Source organism: Homo sapiens, chromosome 8, assembly GCF_000001405.40.
Source record: "Homo sapiens chromosome 8, GRCh38.p14 Primary Assembly".
In the NCBI taxonomy this organism is placed as follows: domain Eukaryota; kingdom Metazoa; phylum Chordata; class Mammalia; order Primates; family Hominidae; genus Homo; species Homo sapiens.
The window spans coordinates 21936888-21962752 of NC_000008.11; the positions used below are offsets into that span (position 1 = coordinate 21936888).

Below are 25865 nucleotides of genomic sequence, written 5' to 3' on the forward strand. Positions count from 1 at the left end.
GGGTGAAATGAGAGTTGAGGGGGAAGCATTGTTGAGTGGTTAACTAGGCGACGCAGTACTGGCCTGAGTGCCTTGGTGTTACATACTGGCCTTAGCAAGATAAAAACTCACTCTGCCATCAACCTTTAGATCACTCTTAACGGACTCAGACTTTGACTAATCTGTTAGTTCCAAAATTATACCTTATTTTTAATGCATAGCACAATAAGAGGTTAAAAGTTTCAAAACTGCTTATCTTGTGGAATTTTTGGCATGGCTAGAAAGTGTTTAGATTAACGAGTAATTTATATAATCAATGGTAGATATGACCACCATAGAGCATACACAAATTCATATTAGTCGAATAAATGAATCAGTCTTATTTGGATGTGTTAAATGTATTTCCAAAACACAGTTGAGTTCAGTCATTAAACTGTTTGCTTTTTAAAACATCTTGATCTGTTATGTTTCAGGCTGAAGCACTTTTAATGTCTTACGGTAATAGTTACCAAGAAGATTAAACCTCTTAGTACGCATGTAATAGGAAGGACTTTTAATTGATGTTTTGCTGGCAGACTCCACAGGAGCTGAGTTTAGTGTACTTTTCCGACTGTGCTTGTCTAGTTTCCTAGGATTCTGAAGTAGCTCATGGCTGTTTCCCTCTGTTCCCATCACTGCTTCTGTCACTGCAGTGTCCCCATCTACAACAGCTGCCATTTGTCAACCCAGGGAAGGTATTTCTTTTTGGAGTTAGTTCATCAATTATTAAAAGGTTCACTGAAATCATCAGAAGTTATTTATTGGTAACCCTGTTTAATTGTAGAGGATCAAGCAGAAATTAAAGTACCCTGGACCAACAAGGAAATCAGTACCCGATTCTTGGTATCTTTGTTCCTCTTTTATAAAAGGAATATATATTTGTTAAGCAGATATTATGTTCAAATTGATCATCAGTTTTTGCAAGTAGGAATGTTACGTAAATGAGAATCTTCAAAGGTTTTGGAGTAATTTATAAAGTAGATACAAATTTTGCATTAAACTCCCACTTTCATTAAACTTTTATTACTAAAGCTTCAGAGAAATAAGATATAGATAATATTTATGAGCCTTTCATATCAATTTTTTTTCAAACTTTCTGCATATATAACCCCCTTTTAAATAGCTGTTGGTGTCTCACAAGCCCTCTGGTATTGATTTAAATTATTTTGATTTTAATGTAACAGATATTAACAATAGTAAAAATAGATGTAAATTCCTCAGGGTTGTCTTCTTGTGCAACTATAAACAGATTTACAGATTTAAAACAAACCACAGAACCAGTTACATTCAAATTAGCAACATATATTTAATATGTTAGATGATAATGTCTGTAATACTGACTGGTATACCATACTTTCTTTTCTTTTATATTTTTGTTAACATTTACATAACATAAAACTTAAAATTTGAAAGTTATGGAATTCATTGGCTTCCAGTACATTAACAATATTGTACATCCATTAGCACTATCTGTGTAATTCACAACATTTTCATCACTCCAAAAAGAAACCCTATACCCGATAAGTAGTCACTGTAAGTTCTTTTTTAGTTCATTATATCAGGACTGCTGGTATGCCATGTGATGACTCAATTTTCTCACCATTTTTCTGCATTCAAGGCACTGAGAAACTCACTGATAATGTAATTTCGCTTTCACTTGGTAGGATGCGTCATTTACATATTAGGTTCACCTCTGCTCCTTTTTATTTAGTCCTCAACGATTAAATTATAACTACTTGACACTAGTACACCCCTAAACAGGAATGTGAAAACCAAACATGATGCAGTACTAGATATGAAGGTGATCAGCCAGATGATTCCGAATACCCTTATATTAACTTTTTAACAGTCATAAGAATGAAAATACATCATTAAAAAAAAAATGTCATAGAGAACTCATGGAGCACTGAGACTATCTCAAGATCCCAGATTGAGAAACGTTATTTATGATTCTTGAGTTTTTATGTGTGCTGTTTAATGAGAATGAGGAGCCTGGGCATTTTAAATCTCTTATTATACTTTTAAATGTTTAGAATAATTGCCCTTCTGTCTGAAAATTATCTTTTTGGGAAAGTCTTATTCATATCTCATTTGGTAACAACAAGATTTTATTTACATTATTTTTTTCACTGGATACATGAAATATACTCCCCTTTGGAAATTTCAAGTTGATAATAAAATGAAATAATTTAGTTTTTAGCTCTTCTATTCTTATTTTGTTCTTTACATATTCTTTCTAAAAAATAGGTGTACGCTTTGCCTATGGAATATACCCATTGTTTTCAAGCAATAATTTGGTTTTGGATTTCTTTTTCTTTTCTTTTTTTTTTTTTGAGATGGAGTTTCGCTCTTCTTGCTGAGGCTGAAGTGCAGTGCTGCGATCTTAGCTCACTACAAGTTCCTTCTCCCAGGTTAAAGCGATTCTGCTGCCTCAGCCTCCCGAGTAGCCGGATTACAGGCATGTGCCACCATGCCCAGCTAATTTTGTATTTTTAGTAGAGACGGGAGTTTCTCCATGTTGGTCAAGTTGGTCTCAAACTCCCAACCTCAGGTGATCCGTCTGCCTCAGCCTCCCAAAGTGCTGGGATTACAGGTGTGAGCCACCGCCCCAGGTCTGTTTTGGATTTTTAAAGTTGCTTTAGGGCAGTTACTTCCAACAACCAAGTAATGACTTTTTTATGCCAACGTTAATTGAGTCAGATTCTTGTAGAATACTTGTAATATGAGCTGTCTCTAGATTTTTATGGATAAATTTTTAAACATATCAGGAAAACAGTATCTCCAAAATGGACAACTCTTTTTTATACTACCTAAAAAGATCAGAGGATAAGTGACAGAGTGGCAAGAAATGAGACTGAAGAGACCAAATCATAACATGCTTTCTGAGCTAAGCTAATGAGATTTAGTTTTATTCTGAAAACCAAGGAGAATTCATTGAAGAATATTTTCAAATGTAATTAGCAAACATTTAGTAGTCTTTTAAATTTTATTTATTTTCTTTGCATATGTGTTAAGAACATTATATTTTGTAATCTCCCTGAATTCTGTCATGTTTTTAAGAACTACTGAGTTATTAGCCTTTTCAGAACTGAAATACCTTTGCTGATGGAAATGTACCTTTTCAAATGTGAAGTTGATCTTCACACTCCTAAATCTAAATAGCTAAATCTAGTCCTTAGTAGCCAGAATGTGCTGTTTGAAAATTTGGCAGAGAGATTGATCAAATATGTTTGAATCCCTGAGTTCTTAATGATATTTTAAAAGTAATGGTAAAAATAACACCACCTTCAGAAGATGGTAGAATACCAATACCAATTCATTATCTTGAAAATTGATATAGGAAAAGAATCAAATATTTACCCTGCCTATTTCTTTGTGAGCTAAACCAATAGATAACTAAATAGTAGATGAGTAATAAAATGTTAAGTGTATTCTGATTAATAACTGAAAAAGAAATGATAGAATTAAAGTATCACCATTTTATAGTCCCCACTGAGTGGAGAGATGTGGGTAGTATGGGTAGTAAGCAACAGTGGCTCCCGGGATTACAAAAAGATACATAGTTAGGCTTTTTTTTTTTTTGAGCCGGAGTCTCACTGTGTCACCCAGGCTGGAGTGCGGTGGTGTGATCTCGGCTCACTGCAACCTCCATCTCCTGTGTTCAAGCAATTATCCTGTCTTAGCCTCCCAGTAGCTGGAATTACAGGTGCATGCCACCACACCCGCCTAATTTTTGTATTTTTAGTAGAGATGGGGTTTCTCCATGTTGGCCAGGCTGGTCTCGAACTCCTGACCTCAGGTGATCCACCTGCCTTGGCCTCCCAAAGTGCTGGGACTACAGGCATGAGCCACCGTGCCTGGCCAGTGGTCAGGCATTTTCATCGTCCTGTATAGTCTTGCCAAAAACACTTCCTGTATGTAATCTTGCCATAGGCGGGGTAGAACCTCAGTCTGATCCAATCTCTGGATGCATCTGTAGTTTTCAGGAAATACCCCAAACAGAGGTACATGCCGAATTATACCAAGCATATGTAATCAGCACAACCTAAACCTAGGGAACTCTAGGTCAAACAGCCTGAGTTCTTCAGTAGGTAAATTACAGTCATGCCTTGGTGTCTGTGGGGGATTGGTTCCAGACCTCCCCCATATATCTAAATCTGAGGATACTCAAGTCCCTGATAGAAAATGGATTAGTATTTGCATATAACAAGCGTATCCTCCTATATGCTTTTTTTTTTTTTCTTCCCTTTGAGATGAGGTCTTGCTCTGTCTTGCAGGCTGGAGTGCAGTGGCACAATCATGGCTCACTGCTGCCTTGACCACGCCACAACCCCGCTCCCTGGACTCAGGCAATCCTCCTACCTCGGTCTCCCTAGAAGGTGAAACTACAGGCGGGTGCCACCTGACTAGTTAAGAAAATTTTTTTTTTAGAGATGGGGTCTGGCCCTGTTACCCAGGCTGGTCTCAAACTCCTGGGGTCAAGCAACCCTCTCGCCTTGGCCTTCCAAAGTGCTGGGATTACAGGCAGGAGCCACTGCACTCAGACTCATATACTTTAAATCATCTCTAGATTACTTGTACTAGCTAATACAATGTAAATGCTATATAAATAGTTGTTATACTGTATTGTTTCGGGAATAATGACAAGAAAAACAGTGTATACATGTTCAGTACAGACAGACAAAATTTTGTTTTCCAAATATTTTCAATCCATGGTTGGTTGAGTCCATTAGTACAGAACCCACAGATACAGAAGGCCAATTATATAAGGAAATGGGAGGGATGCTGGAGAAACCTATGGATTAAAAGAGACCTAAAAGGTATTTTCGTTTGTTTGTTTGTTTTTCACAGACTCTATTTTCTAGGCTTAAGCGATCCTCCCGCCTCAGCCTTCCAAGTACTAGCTGGGACTACTGGCGCATGCCACCAGTAGTGAATTTTTTAAATTTTCGTTGTTGTTGTTGAGTTGGGGTCTCAGGATGTTGCCTAGGCTGCCAATTTTTTTTTCTGATGGACAAAATAAATAAACTGTGATGTCTAAAGAAGCACACATAGATGCTAAAACCATAAAAAGAAAATGGCAAGGAAGTGATTCCTATAAAAGTCGGTAATGGTTACTTAACATCAGGGAGGGGAGGGTGTTATGTATATCCTTATAATAATTCCATTGGTCATACATTGCAATACTGGAGAAGATACAAAGGTAGCAAATAGTTTTCCTAAGTATTTCTTGGTAAATAAGATAAATTAGATCTTTTGTAAGTCCTACTGTGTTTAAAGTGGTGCAGGACTCTCAGGGGAAGCTTTTCATCATTTGTAGCAGCAGTTCTCAACTTTTTTGGTCTTAGGGTCTTTTTACACTCTTAATATTTTCAAGGACCTCAAAGAGCTTTTATGTGGCTTACAGCTAAAATATTTGCTGTAGAAATTAAAACAATTTTTAGAATATGTGATTCATTTAAAATAACCATCTTAAACCCATTTTAGACATTATTGTGAGAAGCTTTTTCAAGCCAAAGCACAAAATTTTAGTAAGGTAGCATTGTTTTATAATTTTTTGTGAATTTCTTTAATATGTGTCTTATTGGAGTACAGCTGGATTCTCATAGTTACTTCTGCATTCAGACTATTTATGATACGTTGTTTTGGTTGAAGTGTGTGATAAAAATCCAGCCTCACATAGATAACGTAGTTTGAAAGGGGAGGAGTATTTCAATAGCCTTTTAGATAATTGTGGGTATTCTTCAATACTTCTTCAACAAGTGATAGTTTTGTAAAGGTTAATTGCAGTGTGGAATCTGAAACCATATCTGAACTTTCCTTACTCTTACATGAAAACCCTTTGGTATGCAGCAGTATTTATTTATGCTTCCCATATTGTCACATGGAAGACAATGTCACAAGATGTGTCCTCAAGTTGAGATTTAGTAAAAATAATTTTTTTGCTTCTTTATGAAGGGCAGTCTTACTTTAAACTAGCTGGGTTTTTGTTTTGTTTTGTTTTAAATGAGTGTGTGGCAGTGAAGAATATAATGGCTCCCAGTGCACTTTGATGCTACTGCCTTAGTTTGTGCTAAAGTACCAGCCGTTTTATCCACCATTGCCTTTGTACCTTTGGTGCACAGTTTGTGCAAATGTCAGTACAGCAAAGTGTATAAATAATGTCTTGGTATTGCTATGAAAATAGCTTAGCTCTTACAGACCTCCTAAGTTTCAGTAACCCCCAGGAGCCCATGGACCACATTTTGGGAACCTATGAACTGGAGAACTTCATATATTCTCACTAGCTGTTATATCCAGCACTCTCGGGTTAATTTTTTAGAAAGACGAAAATGACTTCTTGGATTTTTAAGGAATTGGCACACAATACGGCTTTCCCTGGCTTGTCAAGAATTAAGAACTTGATATTTTATGGCAGTTCCTTTTGAGTGTCATGAATTAAATAAAATATTTGGGACTGTAGTGTTAGGATGCTATGGTGATTGACAGCATGTTTTAAAATATTCTAATTCACATCATCTGAGAAATGTATAGCCCCTTTTATTCTTTGGATTACTATAACTGAACACATTTTTCTCACAAGTGTTTCTTGCCATAATTTATTTGAAGAAATTTAGATTTAAGGATATAAAACCAGATTTTGATAGTATTAAAGGGTGAGTCATTTTGTTAAACGCGTAAAACATTCCTTATTTCCTTCCCTTGAGAGTAAATACAGAATCCTGTTTCTTCCCTCCTATTTTCCCACTAGTGAGGGTAGGGCTAAGGTGAGAATTCTTGTTTTCTCACCCAAATATCTCACACATTTGAAAGACATCCTACTATTAAGCATTTATTTATTGACTGCTTGCTGTATGTTCAACATTGTGGAATATCATGGGAAGATAAGTTATAATCTTATTAAACAAAGAGAAAAAGGCAGCATATGGTTAAAGTATTTAAAAAGTATATTGCTGAATTCAAAGTTGTGCCGGAGAGAGTAGTATGATCTGAATATTCAGAAAAGCTTCATGAAGGATTTAAGACAAGCTAATAATGTTTGGAGAAAAGGGAAATGTTATAGACAAAAATGTATCTGGAGTTCAACAAAACGTTTGATAAAATCTCTCTGAATACCCTCATATACATGAGGTAATTGACTAAAATGTAAAATTTAATATAGTCTCAAATATTCGTTGAATCATTGAGTAACTAGTTGAATGGCCATACCCAAGAGTGGTAATCAGTGAATCACTGACAGCTAGGAACAAGGTTTAGGGCCCAGGACTCTGACCATGAGCTTTTCCTGTATCAGTAACTTAGGTAAGGACATTCATTCAGTATGCATTTATTGAATACCTCCCATGAGTTATATATTCCACATGCCATCAAAAATAAAAAATAAGGGTCAAACGCGGTGGCCCTGTAATCCCAGCACTTTGGGAGGCCTAGGCGGGCAGATCACCTGAGGTCAGGAGTTCGAGACCAGCCTGGCCAACGTGGTGAAACCCCATGTCTACTAAAAGTACAAAATTAGCCAGGCGTGGTGGTGCACATCTGTAATCCCAGCTACTCGGGAGGCTGAGACTGGAGAATCACTTGAACCCAGGAGGCGGAGGCTGCAGTGAGCTGAGACCACACCACTGTACTCCAGCCTGGGCGACAGAGTGAGACGCCATCTCAGAAATAATAATAAAATAAAATTTAAAAATAAGGAATATTCTTTTAATTTTTTTAGTATTTATTGATCATTCTTGGATGTTTCTCGGAGAGGGGGATTTGGCAGGGTTATAGGACAATAATGGAAGGAAGGTCAGCAGATAAACATGTGAACAAAGGTCTCCGGTTTTCCTAGGCCCTGCCGCCTTCCGCCTTCCGCATTGTTTGTGTCTCCGGGTACTTGAGATTAGGGAGTGGTGATGACTCTTAACAAGTATGCTGCCTTCAAGCATCTGTTTAACAAAGCACATCTTGCACCGCCCTTAATCCATTTAACCCTTAGTGGACACAGCACATGTTTCAGAGAGCACGGGGATGGGGGTAAGGTTATAGATTAACAGCATCCCAAGGCAGTATAATTTTTCTTAGTACAGAACAAAATGGAGTCTCCTATGTCTACTTCTTTCTACACAGACACAGTAACAATCTGATCTCTCTTTATTTTCCCCACATTTCCCCCTTTTCTATTCGACAAAACTGCCATCGTCATCATGGCCCGTTCTCAATGAGCTGTTGGGTACACCTCCCAGACGGGGTGGCGGCCGGGCAGAGGGGCTCTTCACTTCCCAGACGGGGCAGCTGGGCAGAGGCGCCCCCCACCTCCCAGACGGGGTGGCGGCCGGGCGGGGGCTGCCCCCCAAGGAATATTCTTTCCTTTAATCTCAAAGGAATTATCCTTTAATCTGTAATCGCAAAGGAAACTCATATAAAAAACTGCTGGAATAGAAGTCTAACATGCTGGTCATAGACAGAGGGGGTAGATTATTTGATAAGAGCTAGAAAGATGTCTAAATTATACTGGAACAGTTCTCCAAATCTGACAAGATAAAATTTTATACAGACAAATGCAAGATCCTGCAGGTAGGTATGGAAAAACTACATAGGTGTAAAACAGGAAAGATACAGTTTAACAACATGTTTGAGACAAAATAGGCCTTATGAAATTTTTAGCATGTGGCATGGTACGTTATCTGAAAATCCTCCTACTGTACAACACCCCAAAATGCTTAGTAAATAAAATATTGAAACAAATCCTTTTAAATACATAGTCGGCCTTACTCAAAGTAAGGAAAATTCCTTGGGAGCAAAAATGTGTAAGAATTCCATTTCCTTTTGTATGGCAAACCAATTATTCTGAAGTGCCTTATCACTGTAATATAAGTAGATCCTCTTTAAATTTGAATAAGCCTCCTTTTTTAATGCATTGACAAGCTTGCAAGAAATAAGGGAAATCTCAATACCCTCACACCCATTAATTAACTTAAATGAACCTATTCAGACTGGAGTGTTGGGAGTAGTGAAGTCAAAATTGCTGTAGGGTCAAATGCCAACATGAAACCCTTATGCCCACTGCCAGATGAGGAAGCCAAAGCTGAGACTTCAGGATCCTAGAAAGCACCTTGGAGTTGTTAGCTCCCCATAGCCACTAGCAGAAACAGGAAAATGGAGGTACTCGGGATTTCCATAGATTTATGTCAACATATGATGAGCTTATAAACAAAAACTACCACACACACATGCATCTGCATGGAAAAAGCCACCATAGAAGAGATTCAGCACAAACTGTAAGTAGCAGGTTTAGGTTACCCCATCCTCCCACGCTCACACTTCGGATACTGACTTCAGATACTGGAAAATCATCAGATACAGAATTATAAAATAAGTTAATGCTTAACAAAATAATATTTAAAAGGAAAAATAAGCAACCAAAAAGTGACCGTCAAAAACAACAAGGCATACTTGAAAAATAATCAAATATAAGTTTAAAATATAACAGGTGAAATTTAAAACTCAGTGAATAGATTAGCATATTAGATAGTGTAGAAGAGAACTAGAAGATCTGAAGATACTGTTCAGATTACAGCACGGGGCGACAAAGGACATGAAAACTGCAAGTGGTTAAGAGACATGGAGGGTAAGATACCACGAAATAACTAGAAAGACACTAGAGGAGAGGCTTTTCTAGAACTGAAAAAAAAAAACAAAAAAAAAAAACATGAATCTAAGTTAAAGAAGTTCCACATATGCAAAACAGGATTTTTTTTTTTTTTTTTTTTTGACGGAGTCTTGCCCTGTTACCCAGGCTGAAGTTGCAATGGTGTGATCTCGGCTCACTGCAGCCTCTGCCTCCTGGGTTCAAGCGATTCTAAAACAGGATAAATTTTAAAACTCATACCTACACACTTTATAGTAAAGCCACAAATAATAAAGACAAAACATCTTATCAGAAAGAAAACATCACCTGCAGAGAACAGACTGGCAGATAAAGACATCTCAACAGCAACCTGGAAGCCAAAAGAGAAAAGTGAATGTCAGCCTAGCATTGTGTGCCCAACAAAATTATCTTTCAAGAATGAGGGCACTAAAAGTCATTTTTAGATAAACACAAACTAAGTTTACTACCAGCACATCTTTACTTAAGGAACTTCCATAAGGGATATACTTAAAGAAGGAAAATGCCATAGAAGTGTTTGGTTATGAAAGAAGCAAAGGTGACCAAAGAAATTGGTAAGCATAGGTAAATCTAAACATCGTATGACATAATAGTATTATCTAATGTTTAGGGCTATGGAGACAAAGCCAAAATAAGGGACAGTAACAGCGTAACACAGGATACAACTGATGGGAGTTTATCTTCTAAGATCACTGTTACTCAAGAGGGGAGGGATAAGATACACTGCCTAATTTTGGACTTTTTTTTAGAATATGTGATAACTAGTACTGGGGAGAAAAATGGAATTCAAAAACAAGCAAAAACATCTTTAAAAAAGAAAAATAGAACAAATACAACATAAAGGAAGAAGGGACAGAGGGGTCTGAGGTATATTAGTAATCACAAATATTAACCTCAAAATGAAAAGCCAGTTTGCGTGAATTGAAAATAATACCGTAGAGGAAATTCAACCTTACTAATACCATCACCACTACCCCTGCAACATAGACACACATCATACACAATATTTAAGAGGTTTTTACATCTTGGGTGAATGCGAAAGAAACAGAGCTCTTAGAAGATAATATAAAAGAATATGTTTATGACTTTAGGATAGGAAAAGATCTCTCCAACAGGGCAAGCAAAGCACTAATCATAAAGGAAAATAATGATAAATTAGGCTGTGTTAAAATTAAGAACGTATATTCATCAAAAGATGAGCATATGAGGGAAAAAGCAATCTACAAAGTGGGAGGGAAGATTTATAACACATTCTGACAGAGGCCTTTACAGATTACAAGTCACTAAATAACAAAAGATTGAGCTTCTCAAGTTGTATGTGCTTTGTGAAATAGCTTCAGAATATATACGGTAAAAACTGATAGAACTATAGGATAAAACTACAAAAAATAAAAAAACATGGCATGTTTGAAAGCCCAGAGGAAGAAGGAGCACAGTGGATTTGAAAACCAGAGAGACCAGAGGATTCTCATTGAAGAGTAATGAGAGAGTAAGTTTAGAATAGATTAATTCAAAGTCAGATTACTTACCAAATTTGTAATACCTCTTACTCTCATATATTGACCTAAAAGTGAAACCCAACCCTTAATTAGAAGCAGAGCGCAGATTTCACAATGCAGTCATGCACTGAATAGTGACATTTTGGTCAACGATGGATCACATTTATGACAGTGGTCACGTAAGATTATAATGTAACTGAAAAATTCCTGTTGCCTAGTGACATAGCCATCATAGCACAACATATTACTTTAAACATACCTGCTTAGGTGTTTAGATACACAAAGACCATTGTGTTACGGTTGCCTAAGGTATTCAGTACAGTAACGTGGTACAGGTTTGTAGCCTAGGAGCAGTAGGCTATACCATATAGCTTAGGTGTATTGCAGGTATGCCATCTAGATTTGTGTAAGTACACTCTGATGTTCACACAACAATGAAATTGCCTAAGGCTATATTTCTCAGAATGTATCCCCATCGATAACGCAAGGCATGACTATACTTTAAAGGAGTTTTTAAATGTTTTTATATACTAGATTGACTCACATAAAATTGTCATTTTTACAGGTCAAAAATATTTGGATATTTGGCCTTTTCATGTGGTTCAACCTGATATGAGGAATTGAGCTTTTCTAGTTTTGTTTTTTTATTCATCCTTCACCAGAAAAATAAGTATTGAGAGGCCAGAATTCATCATCCTATCAAAAGCATCTATGCCAGAATCTTCCTGAATTCATTTAACATTTTACACACCAGAAGGCATCACAGGTTTTAGGAATGACACATTCTCAGACTAGATAGATGTGGGATTATTTCAAATAAACCATTTGGTTCCTCCAAGGATCCTTTAAAAAGTCACCCTAAAGAGCATAGCTACTGAATGTATAGACTCATCCATAGTTACTTGAGTCATTACCAGGAAATATGCCCCTCAGTCTGTGGGCTTCTGGCAGCAATCGCAAGTTACGGGCCCTAAGATGAGAACAGATGAAAGTTTCCACAAGTGAACTTAGTTTTCTAAAGGTTTGTTAATCTCTCTGTTCAAATGATAACCCTACTTCTAGTTTCTGTTTTACTGTTGTATCACATTTTTCAGAAAAATCTCATGAACTGACACATTAGTTCCAGAAATTAACATTATACATAAAATTGTTTATTCTCACCCTGTGAAGTTTAATTTCTGCATTTATAATTAAGTGACTTTACTTCCTAGGGTAGCACGAGTCATGGGGATTCCGTTATTGCTCTGTCAGCCATCAAAATACTGCCCCAGGCATTCTTAGCCCATTGCCTGCCTAGAGGCAGTTGCCCATATAGCTGCCCTTGTCTGAAGCCTACATACTGATAGCATGGCACTGATAATTCTTGGATTCTTACTATGTGTGATACTTCTCCCATTATTGCCACTCAGATGGAAATTCTTTTTATGCATTAATTGTGTCAGAGTAGTTACAGAATGGGTTAACATTTAAGAATTCAGTTAAAAGCAATGTGGTGGGGGAAGAAGTTTTAGAAGAGCAATATGGTGAACATTATGGGAGTGTTACCTATAGTGTTAAAGGCCACGTGGTTCATGACTTTCTTTCCCCCATATAACAACAAAGGCATGGCAGCCACTGCCCTCTGCCAGGAGTCAGGTGAAGCTCAGTCATGGCCAGGCTGTTTGTTGTTGTTATTGTTGTTGTTTGTTTTTGAGATGGAGTCTCTTTCTGTTGCCTAGGCTGGAGTGCAGTAGCACCATCTCGGCTCACTGTACCCTCCACCTTCCAGCTTCAAGCGATTCTCCTGCCTTAGCCTCCCGAATAGCTGGAATTACAGGGGAACACCACCCAGCTAATTTTTGTATTTTTAGTAGAGACAGGGTTTCGCCATGTTGGCCAGACTGGTCTTGAACTCCTGACCTCAGGTGATCTGCCTGCCTTGGCCTCCCAAAGTGCTGGGATTACAGGTGTGACACACCGTACTGGGCCCTAGGCTGTGTTTTTAAAAAGCACTTGGCCTTGGTGTCTTCAGTCTCTTGCTCTCAGGTATTGTTCAGTTCTGAACTTGACTGACCACTGTTGGTCATTTTTGTTAGAGATTTGCAGGTAAACATTTAACGTATTGTAGTTTGGGAAATCTTTTACGTTTCTGAAGAGAGTGTGGGTAGTTGTAAGGACTTTGCTTTAAACCTAATCACCAAAGCAGGAACAGAAATTTAAGTTCCAAAATAAATTTTTAAGGTCATTTTTAATCTCACTTGTTTCATAGACGTTCAAGGACATTTTCAAAGAAACACCTGAAGGTTTAATTAGCTTTAGTGCCATTCATTGGTGGACTATTTCATATTCCTAAACTATAGGAGCTAATTTTTGTTCTTCTAAAGAGAACAAAAGTGAGAATTATTCTCCCCATCAAATGAGTAAGATTTGTTGGTGAGGTTATGTTGACATGTTTAGGTTGCATCATGTCTGTTTTGGGGAACATTAGTGGTGTTTTCACTTAAGCTGCTAGATTGTCAAATTAGTTTCAAGTTGTCTTTATTAGCCTACAAATAATATTATATGGACTTTCCTTAGATGAATTCAAATTGATGTATCTTGCAACAGATGATTGTTACTTTAACTTTAAAAGAGTTCTGTGAATTAAAAACATATAGTATATACATATATATTCATATTTGTTTTTCAGAAGCCTTTCCTTGAATTAATTTGTATAAAATTTATATTTACCTTTTACTTAGAAAATGAGAATACCAATGGGATTTTTATATTCTACCGTAAATTTATATAGAAAATGAGGTATATATAAAGTATCTAGAGCCTGGCGTATAATCCCAGCACTTTGGGAGGCTGAGGAGGGTGGATCACTTGAGGCCAGGAGTTTGAGACCAGCCTGGCCAACATAACAAAACCTCGACTCTACAAAAAATACAAAAAAAAAAATTAGTTGGGCGCGGTAGTGCATGCCTGTAATCACAGCTACCCAAGAGGCGGAGGCTGGGGTGAGCCGAGGTCACATCGCTGTACTCCAGCCTGGGCGACAGAGCGAGTAAATTTAATTAATTAATTAATTAATTAATTAAGGAAGTACCTAGCACAGGGATCAGCATATAGTTGGTACTCAGCAAAGTGACAGTTTTTCCTTTTTGAGGACTTGGTGGACATTATCCAGAGAGAATCCTTGTTAGGTGACATAGGTAGATATGCTCACCTCTTTGGTTAAGTACGTCTTTTTTTTTTTAAACCTATGAGGCCTACCTTAATTACCCTTTTGAATACTGCAACCTACACTTCTATTATATACCCACATATACTCTTAATCATCCTTACTCTTCTCTGTTTTTTTTATAGTATTTATCACCTGCTAACATACCATATAATTTATTATAATATGTTTAATCAACCATTTAGAATTGTGTTTGGCACAAAGGTACTCAGATATTTGTTGTTGTATGGATCCTGTTTCCCATGTAATGGAATAGAAACATTCGAGAATTAGGGGACTTCAGAGTCACATAAATAGTCTAGGGCAGAGCTGCACATAAAACCACCAGTTAAAGCCCTTTTCTGATTTGCATGTTCAGTAGCCTGCTTTTCTGCCCATTTTGTTTGAATATTAATGCAGCTTATCAGCATCTGGTCACACTTAGAAGAACCAATAGCCGTGTAGGTGTGTTGTCAACTGTTTTGTTATTGTCTCCCAACTATTGCTAAGGTTTTTCAGAACCTCACGTTCTCAGCCCAGTATTTTGGAAAATTCTTTATGAAGAGTATGTATGGTACTGGAATTTACATAAAGTCTTACATTAATTACGAGTCTTACAGCTGTCGATCCTAATGCTGTCTCTACAGTGTGAATCCCTAGAAGTGATGAAGAGACACAGCAGTTAATCAAGATAGGAGGGATTGGTGATAACCAGCCCAGTCTCAGCAATTTCAGTAAAAATCCAGTACCATCCCCACATTGTGCAAAAATGTGGCGTTAATGACCTGTTCAGCAGGTGTTACTTCTCTCCTTTCCTAGGATGGCCTGCTTTCTTCCTTTGTGAAACTTTGGCTCAAAAAACATGCCACTTTAGGATGTGAGGGATGGTAAAATAACTATAGTCATTTCCTGCAACAAGCTTGTAAATGAAAACTATTAGGAATATTCAAAAATAAATGTATTGCTATGCTGCACACTGACTTTTTTGTTACACAGTTTGCTAGGTAGATAGGTAGCAACAAATCTACAATTTAGTATCAACCCTGTTCTTCAGGTGAATGAGTGTTGTATTTTTTTTTTAATGGAAGCAAATGCTTGATTGAGCTGCAGGAACTTATAGAGAAAATGTTTTCAACTGTTGAAGTATGTCAGAATTGTATTCAGAATTTTGAAAGGAGGGTAGAACACCAGAGAAGCTATATAAAATAGAAGACTCATACAGCAAACTAAAGTATACTTTGCTGACTTATCTGTAGAGACATATGTTTGGATGGATGGCAGGCAATAATTTAGAAAAGTAACAGTAGGTTATTTAATATGAGCATTACTTTGAAATGACTTTATAAATTTAACTAATCGAAGGACTTTCTATATAGATCCTCTAGGAGAAAAATATTTTATACCAGATAAGTACAGTATGGATTCTAGTTTAGAATGGCAGAGAGCCACGCTTGGTTACGTTGGCTTTGACAATGAATGTCAGTGTTATAACGCCTGTGTTTTCAGCTAGAGAATTGTAACCATTCTGTTGCCCTGTCAGGTGGTAGGGAGTGGGAGTTGGGCATGAAAGCTAAGATACAAAATGTCATGTTTTAGTATTAAATATTGGTTAGTAAACTAGCCAGCATTAAGATCAAACTGCGGAAGGAAGAATAGGACTTCTTAAACTGGCAAATTAGATGTTTTTACTAGACTTTATTTTTTAGAGCAGTTTTAGGTTTATAGAAAAACTGAGCAGAAAGTACAGAGTTCTCACATACCCTGTTATCCGCCCCTCCCCCTCTCTCCCCACCCCTGCCCCCGCCCATTAACGTCTTGCATTGGTATGGTATATTAACAATTGATGGGCCAGTATTGATACATTATTAACAACTGAAGGTCACTCTTAGTGTTGTGCTCTGTGGGTTTTGACAATTTACAGTGACATGTATCTACAATTACAGTATCATAAAGAACAGTTTCACTGCCTTAGACATCCCCTGTGCTCTGCCTCTGCCTCTTCATCCTTCCCTCCCTGCCTCTGTCACCATCATTTCTCCCCCCCTGCAAACTCCTGGCAACCACTGCTCTTTCTGCTGTCTCTATTGTTTTGCCTTTTCCAGGATGTCATATAGTAGTTGGAATCACCCAATAATGTAGCCTTTCAGATTGGCATCTTAAACTTAGCAGTATGCATTTAAGTTCCTCTATGTCTTTTTGTAGCCAAGTTTTGGTAATTATGAATAAAACTGCTATAAACATTTGTGTACAGGTTTTGTGTAGACATAAGTTTTCAAGTCATTTGGGTAAATACCAAGGAGCGCAATTGCTGGATCATATGGTAAGAGTATGTTTAGTTTTGTGAGAAACTGCCAAACTGTCTTGTAAAGTGGCTGTACCATTTTGCATTCTCACCAACAGTTCCTGTTGTTCCACATCTTTGCCATCATCTGGTGTTATAAATGTTTTGGGTTTTAGCCATTCTAATAGGTGTGTAGTAGTATCTCACTGTTACTTTAATTTGCAGTTTCTTGATGATACATGATGTTAACCATCTTTTCATATGCTTATTTGCCATCTGTGTATCTTTGGTGAGGTGTCTGGTCAGATCTTTTTGACTTTTTTAATTGGTTTGTTTTCTTATTGTTGAGTTTTAAGAGTTCTTTGTATATTTTGGATATCAGTCCTGTATCAGATTTTTGCAGAGGTTTTCTCCCATTTGGTAACTAGTCTTTTCATTTTCTTAAGCAAATTAGATTCTGTTTGTAAATGAAATTTCTATCCTGGAAATTTTAAGAACTAGTAACATATAGAAAGAAGAGGGGGACTGGGGAAGATAATTCTCTGGGCCAGTTTATGTATTTGGCTAGCCTGATAATAAACCTAAGTACAATTGTTTGAATCTGAAATCCTTTTTATCTAGTCATTGTAAAACATAATGATGGAGCTTAGTGATAGGTGGCCTCAGAGAATTGGTGATTGTGTGTTTTTGATCGCTTCCTTTGCTCTACTATATATAACGCAGTGTTTAAATGGAGGTTTTAATAGGATTCTGTACAAAATACACCCAATAATCCGGTTTGAATGTTGTATCAAATTGATCCTAAAAACATAAACTTAAAATAATAAATGTGGGCTGCGTGCAGTGGCTTACACCTGTAATCCCAGCACATTGGGAAGCCAAGACAGGCGGATCACGAGGTCAGGAGTTCGTGACCAGCCTGACCAGCATGGTGAAACCCCATCTCTACTAAAAATTCAAAAATTAGCCAGGTGTGGTGGCACAGACCTGTAATCCCAGCTACTCGGGAGGCTAAGGCAGGAGAATCGCTTGAACCCGGGAGGTGGAGGTTGCAGTGAGCTGAGATCTTGCCACTGCACTCCAGCCTGGGCAACAGAGTGAGACTCCATCTCAAAAAAATAAATAAATAAATGAAATAAATAAATAATAAATGTGCACCGGCCCAACAGTGTCCCTCTGCAGTGTAGCTTACATGAGAACTCAAAAATAAATAGCTCTTGGAAACCAGAACTTAATGAAGTGAGTTTATACAACTCTTTCTCATATTTTGACTGCTTTAATATCTAGCCAGTAGGTTATCACTTTCTGAACTTTAGAAGTCAGTTGTTTGACCTTGTTTGCTGTATGGTAAACATCACTATTTGTAAGGAAAAAATTGATAAGACATTAAGTTGATCACATCAATTTAAGTTATTTGAGATGTTGGTTAACATTCTTAGGAGTACTGAGCTATTACAGGATTGTTCTTCCAGTATAGACCTGCTTATAAAAATGCAGTTTTTAGGGAAATGGTAATATAGCAGGAAAGTTTATTTACATACATGGTTGTTTAACACTGCAAATTTGGGTTCTCAAATAGCTGAATATTGGCATTCTTTCTTCAAGTAATCTGCCTGGCCTGTATAATCTTTCATACTCAGCCATTTTCATAGTGGAGTACGTTGTTTTGGTCTTTTAATATTGTCCATGCAGAATCAATTCCATAAAAGGAATTAAACAACTTTCTTTTTTATGAAGAAGGAGTGAAGGTGGCAAAAGCCAGGTATATGGGGTTTTTTTTCCTCCTTATCAGAACTCAAACTGTCTTTTGTCTTTGGAACATTAGTTAAAAATGATGGTGCACCTTTGTAGAAAAACTTTCCAAATTTAAAGTACAGTGTTTGTCAATTGAGGGCTTTTCTGTACAGTAAACTTCAACACGGATTAAGGTGAAATCTTAAATGAGAATTCTCATCCAGGTATTCTGTCCTCAGGTTAAAGTAGGCAGTGGTGGCAGGGATCTTGGTGATGATTCTGTGAACATGACTTGTCCCTGAAGCCACATTGCTTGAATAAGGCCTGGATGCTCTTAATGGCCAACTCACAGTTGTTGTCCTGGGCCCTTTGCCGTCCTTCCAGGGGTTTCCTTGATATCCCTCTTCTCTGTTGGGTTTCATAGGATCAGCATGGCCATATAACTCATGGCCTGTATTCTGTGCTTACCTTTTTTTTTTTTTTTTTTTTTTTGAGATGGAGTCTCGCTCTGTCTCCAGGCTGTTGTGCAGTGGCATAATCTCGGCTCACTGCAACCTCCGCTGCCTGGGTTTATGTGATTCTCCTGCCTCGGCCTCCCAAGTAGCTCGGACTACAGGTGCCCACCACCGTGCCTGGCTAATTTTTGTATTTTTAGTAGAGACGGGATTTCACCCTGTTGGCCAGGATGGTCTTGATCTCTTGACCTTGTGATCCACCCGCCTCAGCCTCCCAAAGTGCTGGGATTACAGGCATGAGCCACTGCGCCCAGCCCCCGTGCTTACCTTTTTATGGAATTACACTTTACTTTGGTGTGAAGTATATTCTGTAGTAGCTCTTCAAAAAGGGGAGCATGGAGGATAGATTTTTGTGGCCTTACACCCCCAAAGATAACTTTGTTCTACTCACACATGATTCCTTCCTTGGCTAAGTATAGCCTTCTATGCTGGAGCTCTTTCTCTAGAGGATTTCGCAGGAATTGTTCTGTTGGCTTCTTGTTTCCAGTGTTCCTTTTGTGATGTCCAGAGCCATGTGATTCCTGATCCTGTTTTGTTTTCTGTGTTTCTCTCTCTGCTAAAAGCAGCATATGGAATCTTCTCTTTGTCATCAGGTTTCTGAGGTTTCCCAGTGGTGTGCCTCGGGTGTGGGTTGACTTTCATGTATTATGCTGGCATTGGGTGGACACTCCATTCTGGCAACTGATGTTTTTCAGTTCTAGGAAGTTATCTCAAATTATTTTATTGATAACTTCCTTTCCTTCACCATTCTCTGTTCTGTCTTTCTGTAACTCCTGTTAATTGGATGTTAGGCCTATGGAACTGGGTCTCTGATTTTTTTAAACTTTGCTCTTTCCCTCTTGGTCCTTTTGCTCTGTTGTCTGTGAGATTTTAACTTTTATTTTCCCACCTTTCAATAGAATATTTTTGTCTCTGTCATCATATGTTTATTTTCTAACATCTCTTTTTATGTTCTTTGAATGTCTTTTTTTTTTTTCTTTTTGTGCATCCTGTTATTCCACACTTGCAATTTTGGGCTTAATTGTATGTTTTCATCTTTTGTTTTTTGGTCAAGTTTCCTTCTCCCTATATAGTTTTTACTTGTTCCAGATTGCTTTTTGCATGCTTGTTTAGCTGTCTATCTTCCATGTTAAAGGCTTTCTTCAGATTTCTGATAATACTTGATTATTTGCTCATGATCAAGATTAAGATAATACAGAGTTGACTGGAACCTCTGAAAGCGTGGCGAGGCTTGTCTGCTGAGGCATCATGGGAGAGTAATCAGGTGTGCCATTTGTGGAGTAACCTGCATATTAGTGTATCTGCAACTTTTTGCTTTGTAGCTAATGAGATTCTCGGGAAAATCTTCCAAACTCCTGCCTAAAGAGTATGTCTGCACACTGAAATTTCTCGGTGGATCCTAGTGAGGGAAGACTCAGCGGCACTCCCACTTCATTGACCTATTTGTTACAGGGTGCCCATAGCTTCAGATGTGCTTTTGACTGGCTTGGTGTCTCTCAGTCCAAAGAGAGGGACAGTTACTGAGAGGCATACAGTGAGGAGGACTATCTGGGAATCTTAACTTCTCAAAGATACTTTCACCCTGTTTCTCCTTCTTTGGGCCACCCCACTTCACCTTAACATCTGAGCATGTAGCATAAATGAAGTTTGTTCAGCTTTTCTCACTGCTGGCTAGGGATTTGGCTTTCTTAGTTCATTTAAGTCAGTTACCATTGATTTTTCTGTATCCCAAAATTATGTTGCTGTTGTCCTCTTTCCTGTCTTCCCTATCTATCCTTGTGGGATCCTGAGGGTTTAGGGCTTGGTTTTGTTTTGAATACCTTTAGTGTTGTGTTAGTTGGGTTTGGGGAGGGAACAAAATTAGATATGTGATCAATCTGCCATTTTAATATGAATTTCCTTTGGAAGCTTTAAGAGTTAGACTTATCCAATGTTAAGACGTTCTTATGAAGCTCCTACTGTGTGCCAGACACTCTTGTACTTTGCATTTCCATCCCAGTCCATGCACTGTGCTCACTGGGATTATAGGCATGCACAACCATGCCTGGCCTTGCTTTGCCTTCTTGTTTCAGCTTTCACACTGTAAACAACTGTAAGGTCCTTTCCGGGTTTTTTTTTTCCCACTGCCATGTTTCTTGCAGTTTTGTGCTTTTTGTTGGTAATTCCACTGCTTAAAATGGCCCACAGAGTGCTGAAGTGCTGTCTATGTCTAGTTCCTAAGTGCAAGAATTATGAAAAGTCATAATTCATGCATAATTAATAGAAATGGCGATTTAAGCAAACGTTTGAGACAGTTGTACAGACATTAATATGGAAATTACATAGGCTAACAAATACTTCTATTTGAACAAATACCTTTAAAAAGTGGCAATAAATATAATTATGTTTCTATGGAGAAGTATGTACTGAATCCCACCCAGTGGTGCCAGAAATAAAACTGATCCTCATTATTCCTTGTTGTCATGTTCTGTAAAGTCACCGAGAACACTGAATTAGCAAATACTGACCCATTGCTCCTAGGGGAAGTATAGGGTTAGATTCAGGCCAGCTGCTAGTCACCACATTTGCGTCAAACAAGCAATATGTAACCATGTTTTATTTGTGTTTTTGTTTAAAGATATTTTAAACCATATTGTTGATTTATTAGCGTTAAACTAATGGCCAAAAGCACAGTAACTCATGACTGAATGAAATTTATCTAACACACACAATTTCACCATAAGTTACATCACAGCCGTCTTGCCCTTAGGAACTCGACATAGCACTTCAGCACTCTGTGGGCCATGTTAAGCAGTGAAATTACCGACAAAAAGCACAAAACTGCAAGAAACATGGCAGTGAAAAAAAAAAAACCCGTAAAGGACCTTACAGTTGTTTAGTGTGAAAGCTGAAACAAGGCAAAGCAAGGCCGGGCATGGTTGCGCATGCCTATAATCCCAAGTGCTTTGGGAGGCTGAGGCGGGTGGAATACCTGAGGTCAGGAGTTGGAGACCAGCCTGGCCAACATGGGGAAAACCCCATCTCTACTAAAAATACAAAAACCAGCCGAACATGGTGGCGCACACCTGTAATCCCAGCTACTTGGGAGACTGAGGCAGCAGAATCACTTGAACCCGGGAGGTAGAGGTTGCAGTGAGCCGAGTTCGCGCCACTACACTCCAGCCTGGGTGACAGAGTAAGACTCTGTCTCCAAAAAAAAAAAAAAAAAGAGGCAAAGCATGGCAGTGTTGAGCCTCAGCTGGGATTGTGTAAGTCAGGTAACTCAAATTGTTGACCACTCTGTCCACGTGCATGAATGACTGCAGAAGCACCCTGAGCGAATATGGATTTGATGATTACAAATACATTTTAGTGAGTAGGTGAATTCACAAAACAGAATCTGCGAATAACGAGGATCAATTATATATTTGATCCCTGATGCCCCTGGCCCTACAGGGGAAAGGGCATTTATAATCCCCTTAGAAGAAACAGTGCAGATTTTGTGTGCGCTCATGCAAGCAATAAAAAAGCTGCTATTCTCCAGAGTTTTTGGTAGCCAGTATAATCAATAATAGCCAGTAATAATTAGCAGTGTACACACATTACTTCATTGACTTTTACAACCTTGTAAAGTGGGTGTTATTTCTATGTAAAAGAAAGGGAAAATATTTGAATGATTTGAGTAACTTAAGTCATGCTCCTACAGTAGACGGAGGAGTAGGGATTTGTCTGCCACCTAAAATCTTACCCATTACTCTGTACTGAATCAACTCCAAAAGAAACCTTGTTCCTGCTGCTAGGTCACTGAAGTTGTTTGTGGGTAAAGATCCTACACTACAATCACAAGGATGTGAGTGTTACCAATTTATTTTTTTAAAATACCATTCTCACTTTAAAAAAAAAATGTCCTAATCATCGTTTTCATGATCATTTTAACTTCAATATTTGTTTACTTGGAATTCTCATTCACTAATATAATTAAAACATGATGGATAGTTTATTGCAGTCAAAGAATCTTAGAACTGGAAGTGTCTTTTAAAAATCATGTAACAAAATGCATTTACTTTACCTACCTATGAGAAACTGAAGTTCCTGGAAGTTAACTCACCCACAGTCATACGTTAAGACCGGTATCTAACGATCCAGTATCAACCGAACTCTTCTCTGCCTAAGTTTTACATAGTTCCTTGTGTTTTAACCGAATTTGGTGAAGCAGTAGTACCCAAAGTTCAGCCCAAATCTGTTGTCCTATCATGCATGACACTTTTTAAGTTTGACATCCAGGAATGAACCACTGATAGGAGACAGAATTGCAGGAGAGCAAGGGGAGAAAACAGCTGTCTACAGAGGAGCCGTGGGGAACTGGAGAGAGCCTGCCCAGGAAAGCACTCCCTCTGTGACCCTTTGCAGACCCAGTGCTTTCAGAGCTTCTCATTTTTCACAGGAAGCTGGAAAACCAGATAGTGTGAAATATTGCCAGCTGTGTCACTTTAAAACCACAGTGCAAGACAAAAACCAAAAATGACTGTGGGCCCGTTTCAGGGCGTCAGATTGAAACCTCTCCTTTAGAGGATTCACCTTGCCCTGCAGCTTTCTTTCCTCTGCACCGTTAGAGACTATGAGAAGGAATCCAAGCCAGTTTCTGGTGAGCACTTAAGAGAATGCTTTTGGGTTAAACTTAAAAGTCAATAAACCATTAAGTGACTAGGTACATTCTGGCTATTTACTTCATGAAATAATTTGTTTGCATGTGTTTTGGCCACATATTACCCACAACACAAAGATCATCTGTGTTTATTACAAGTTAGAATTGATTAGTATTTTGAAGTAAATGTAGAATTTTGCAGTCTCATATGGTAGTGGACTTGCCATCCTTATCTCATGCACGCCAGGCTCTGGCATAGCATTATCACTTGCTGAAAATAAGTATTTTATCTTGTTTTACCGTAGTAGACATACACAGCATCTGCAACCAAAAGTGTTACTCACTCTCTTAGTCTTACCTTAGTTCTTCCTGAGAAACTAATGGGAGTCGTGGTTGTAAAAGCATTTAGCGTTGTAAAACTAAAGCATTCTGAATCTAAAGTGCAGCTGTAGGTTGTTGATGAAAACTTCTTTTCCATTAGTATTAAAAAGTAATCGATGACAATAAGTAACTAGAGAATTTGGGCAGAACTATGGCATTCATCCATACATACAGAAAAATACATGAATTATAAATATATAAATAATTAAAGTATGCAAATTAGAAATACACAAACTCAGTGAATTTTCACAAACTGCACATGCCTGGGTAACCAGCACACAAATTAAGAAATGAAACATCCATACTGCTATTGATGGGTATTTGGCTTTCTATTTGGGAACTGTTAACATTTAGTGCTGCCATGAGTGAGCTTAGTACGCATCTCCATTGAGTGTGTATCTAGGAGTGGAATAGCTGGGTCACAGGGTGTTTTTTTTTTTTTTTCTTTTTTTGAGACAGGGTCTCACTCTGTCACCCAGGCTGGAGTACAGTGGCATGATCACAGCTCACTGCAGTCTTGACCTTCCAGACTTGGACAATCCTCCTGCCTCAGCCTCTTGCATACTTGGGATGACAAGGGCACGCTACCACACCCAGCTAATTTTTTTGTTATTATTATTTGTAGAGGCGGAGTCTCCCTATATTGCTCAGGCTGGTTCTGAACTCCTGGGCTCAAGCAGTCCTCCCACCTCAGCCTCCTGAAGTGCTGGGATTATAGGTGTGAGCCACTGTGCACAGCCTCCATATGTGTACCTTTATACTCCCAGTTTTCCAATGTATTTGAATCAGTTCAGACTAAACTAGCAACATACGAGTTCTGGTTGTTCCACATGCTAACACTTGATCTTGGCTTTTTCATTTTAGTCATTTTTTTCATTTTGTTTTGTTTTTCTGAGACAGAGTCTCACTCTGTCGCCCAGGCTGGAGTGCAGTGGCAGGATCAGTGGCAGGATCTTGGCTCACTGCAACCTCTACCTCCTGGGTTCAAGAGATTCTCCGGCCTCAGCCTCCCAAGTAGCTGGGACTACAGGCACACGCCACCACATTCAACTAAGTTTTGTACTTTTAGTAGAGACGGGGTTTCATCACGTCGGCCATGCCGGTCTCAAACTGCAGCTGTCATGTGATCTGCCCGCCTGAGCCTCCCAAAGTGCTGGGATTACAGGCATGAGCCACCACGCCCTGCCTCATTTTAGTCATTCTAATGGCTATCTCATCGTGATTTGAATTTACATTCCCTGATGATTATTGAGGTTGCACACCTTTTCATTTGTTTATTGGCTGCTTGGCTTATTCTCTTGTAAATTACGTAAACAAGTATTTGGCACTGACTTGGTAAACTTTTTCCTTAAAATGAGTTTAAAAAATAAATAGTGTGCATTTATAAACATTCAAAGAGCAAGCGAGTTTGCCCTGTGAACTCTATTGTAGTAAGTAACTTTTGAGAGGTCTACTGATACATCTATAAACCAAGATGACTTTGGCCACCACGATTGCCTTTCATATAAATTTATAAACAAGAAGAAACCTTGAATGTTCTTTTCAGGCCGCTAAAACTACCAGCACTGGTAAGAAAAAAGAAAATAAAATGAGTAATAAATGCAAATGTATTTTTTTGTTTTTGTTTTTGTTTTTTTAGCCTTGTGAATAGTTTTTTGTCTGGTTGGTTTTGTGAATTGTTCTATGAATTCTGATTGGTAACAGAATCAGCCGTTAACTAGTAAAATGTTACTAATGTGAAGAGTTAATTTAGGAAAAGAATGTAGCTTAAATTGCCCTTTTAAAAAATGCTTATCTTTACAGTTGTTAGGATTTTTTTCTGCTTACAGAGGAATATGTGGTTGTGGTCAAAATTTCCAAGGTTACAGAAATTGAAAGTCTCTCATATTCTCACTTCCCAGAGACAATTAAGTTTGGTTTGTATTCATCTAGGTTTTCTTCTATAAATTTACTAACATGCATCACAAATGGTAATAT

General features: G+C 38.1%; 1 protein-coding gene and 1 long non-coding RNA gene across 5 annotated transcripts in view, besides 4 other annotated features; one reads left to right on the plus strand and one right to left on the minus strand.

Annotated features, from left to right (window-relative positions):
• XPO7 (exportin 7) overlaps positions 1-25865 on the plus strand; it is an 86924-nt gene that overhangs the window by 17226 nt on the left and 43833 nt on the right. The gene's annotated exons all lie outside the window — the stretch shown is intronic.
• Positions 7677-8310: an enhancer, noted in NCBI's record as "NANOG-H3K27ac-H3K4me1 hESC enhancer chr8:21802075-21802708 (GRCh37/hg19 assembly coordinates)". NCBI's record gives its function as "activates a minimal SCP1, AML or CMV promoter by ChIP-STARR-seq in naive H9 embryonic stem cells {active_cell/tissue: H9 hESC(naive)}" and the evidence as "EXISTENCE:reporter gene assay evidence [ECO:0000049][PMID:30033119]".
• Positions 7721-21386, minus strand: LOC124901903 (uncharacterized). The gene is made up of 2 exons (XR_007060847.1): positions 11200-21386; positions 7721-10001 (listed from the first exon to the last, which is right to left on the minus strand). It is a non-coding gene; the product is annotated as an uncharacterized LOC124901903 (long non-coding RNA).
• Positions 12354-12854: an enhancer, noted in NCBI's record as "H3K4me1 hESC enhancer chr8:21806752-21807252 (GRCh37/hg19 assembly coordinates)". NCBI's record gives its function as "activates a minimal SCP1, AML or CMV promoter by ChIP-STARR-seq in primed H9 embryonic stem cells {active_cell/tissue: H9 hESC(primed)}" and the evidence as "EXISTENCE:reporter gene assay evidence [ECO:0000049][PMID:30033119]".
• Positions 23033-23212: an enhancer, noted in NCBI's record as "active region_27070". NCBI's record gives its function as "activates an Ori minimal core promoter by ATAC-STARR-seq in GM12878 lymphoblastoid cells {active_cell/tissue: GM12878}" and the evidence as "EXISTENCE:reporter gene assay evidence [ECO:0000049][PMID:35858748]".
• Positions 23583-23692: an enhancer, noted in NCBI's record as "active region_27071". NCBI's record gives its function as "activates an Ori minimal core promoter by ATAC-STARR-seq in GM12878 lymphoblastoid cells {active_cell/tissue: GM12878}" and the evidence as "EXISTENCE:reporter gene assay evidence [ECO:0000049][PMID:35858748]".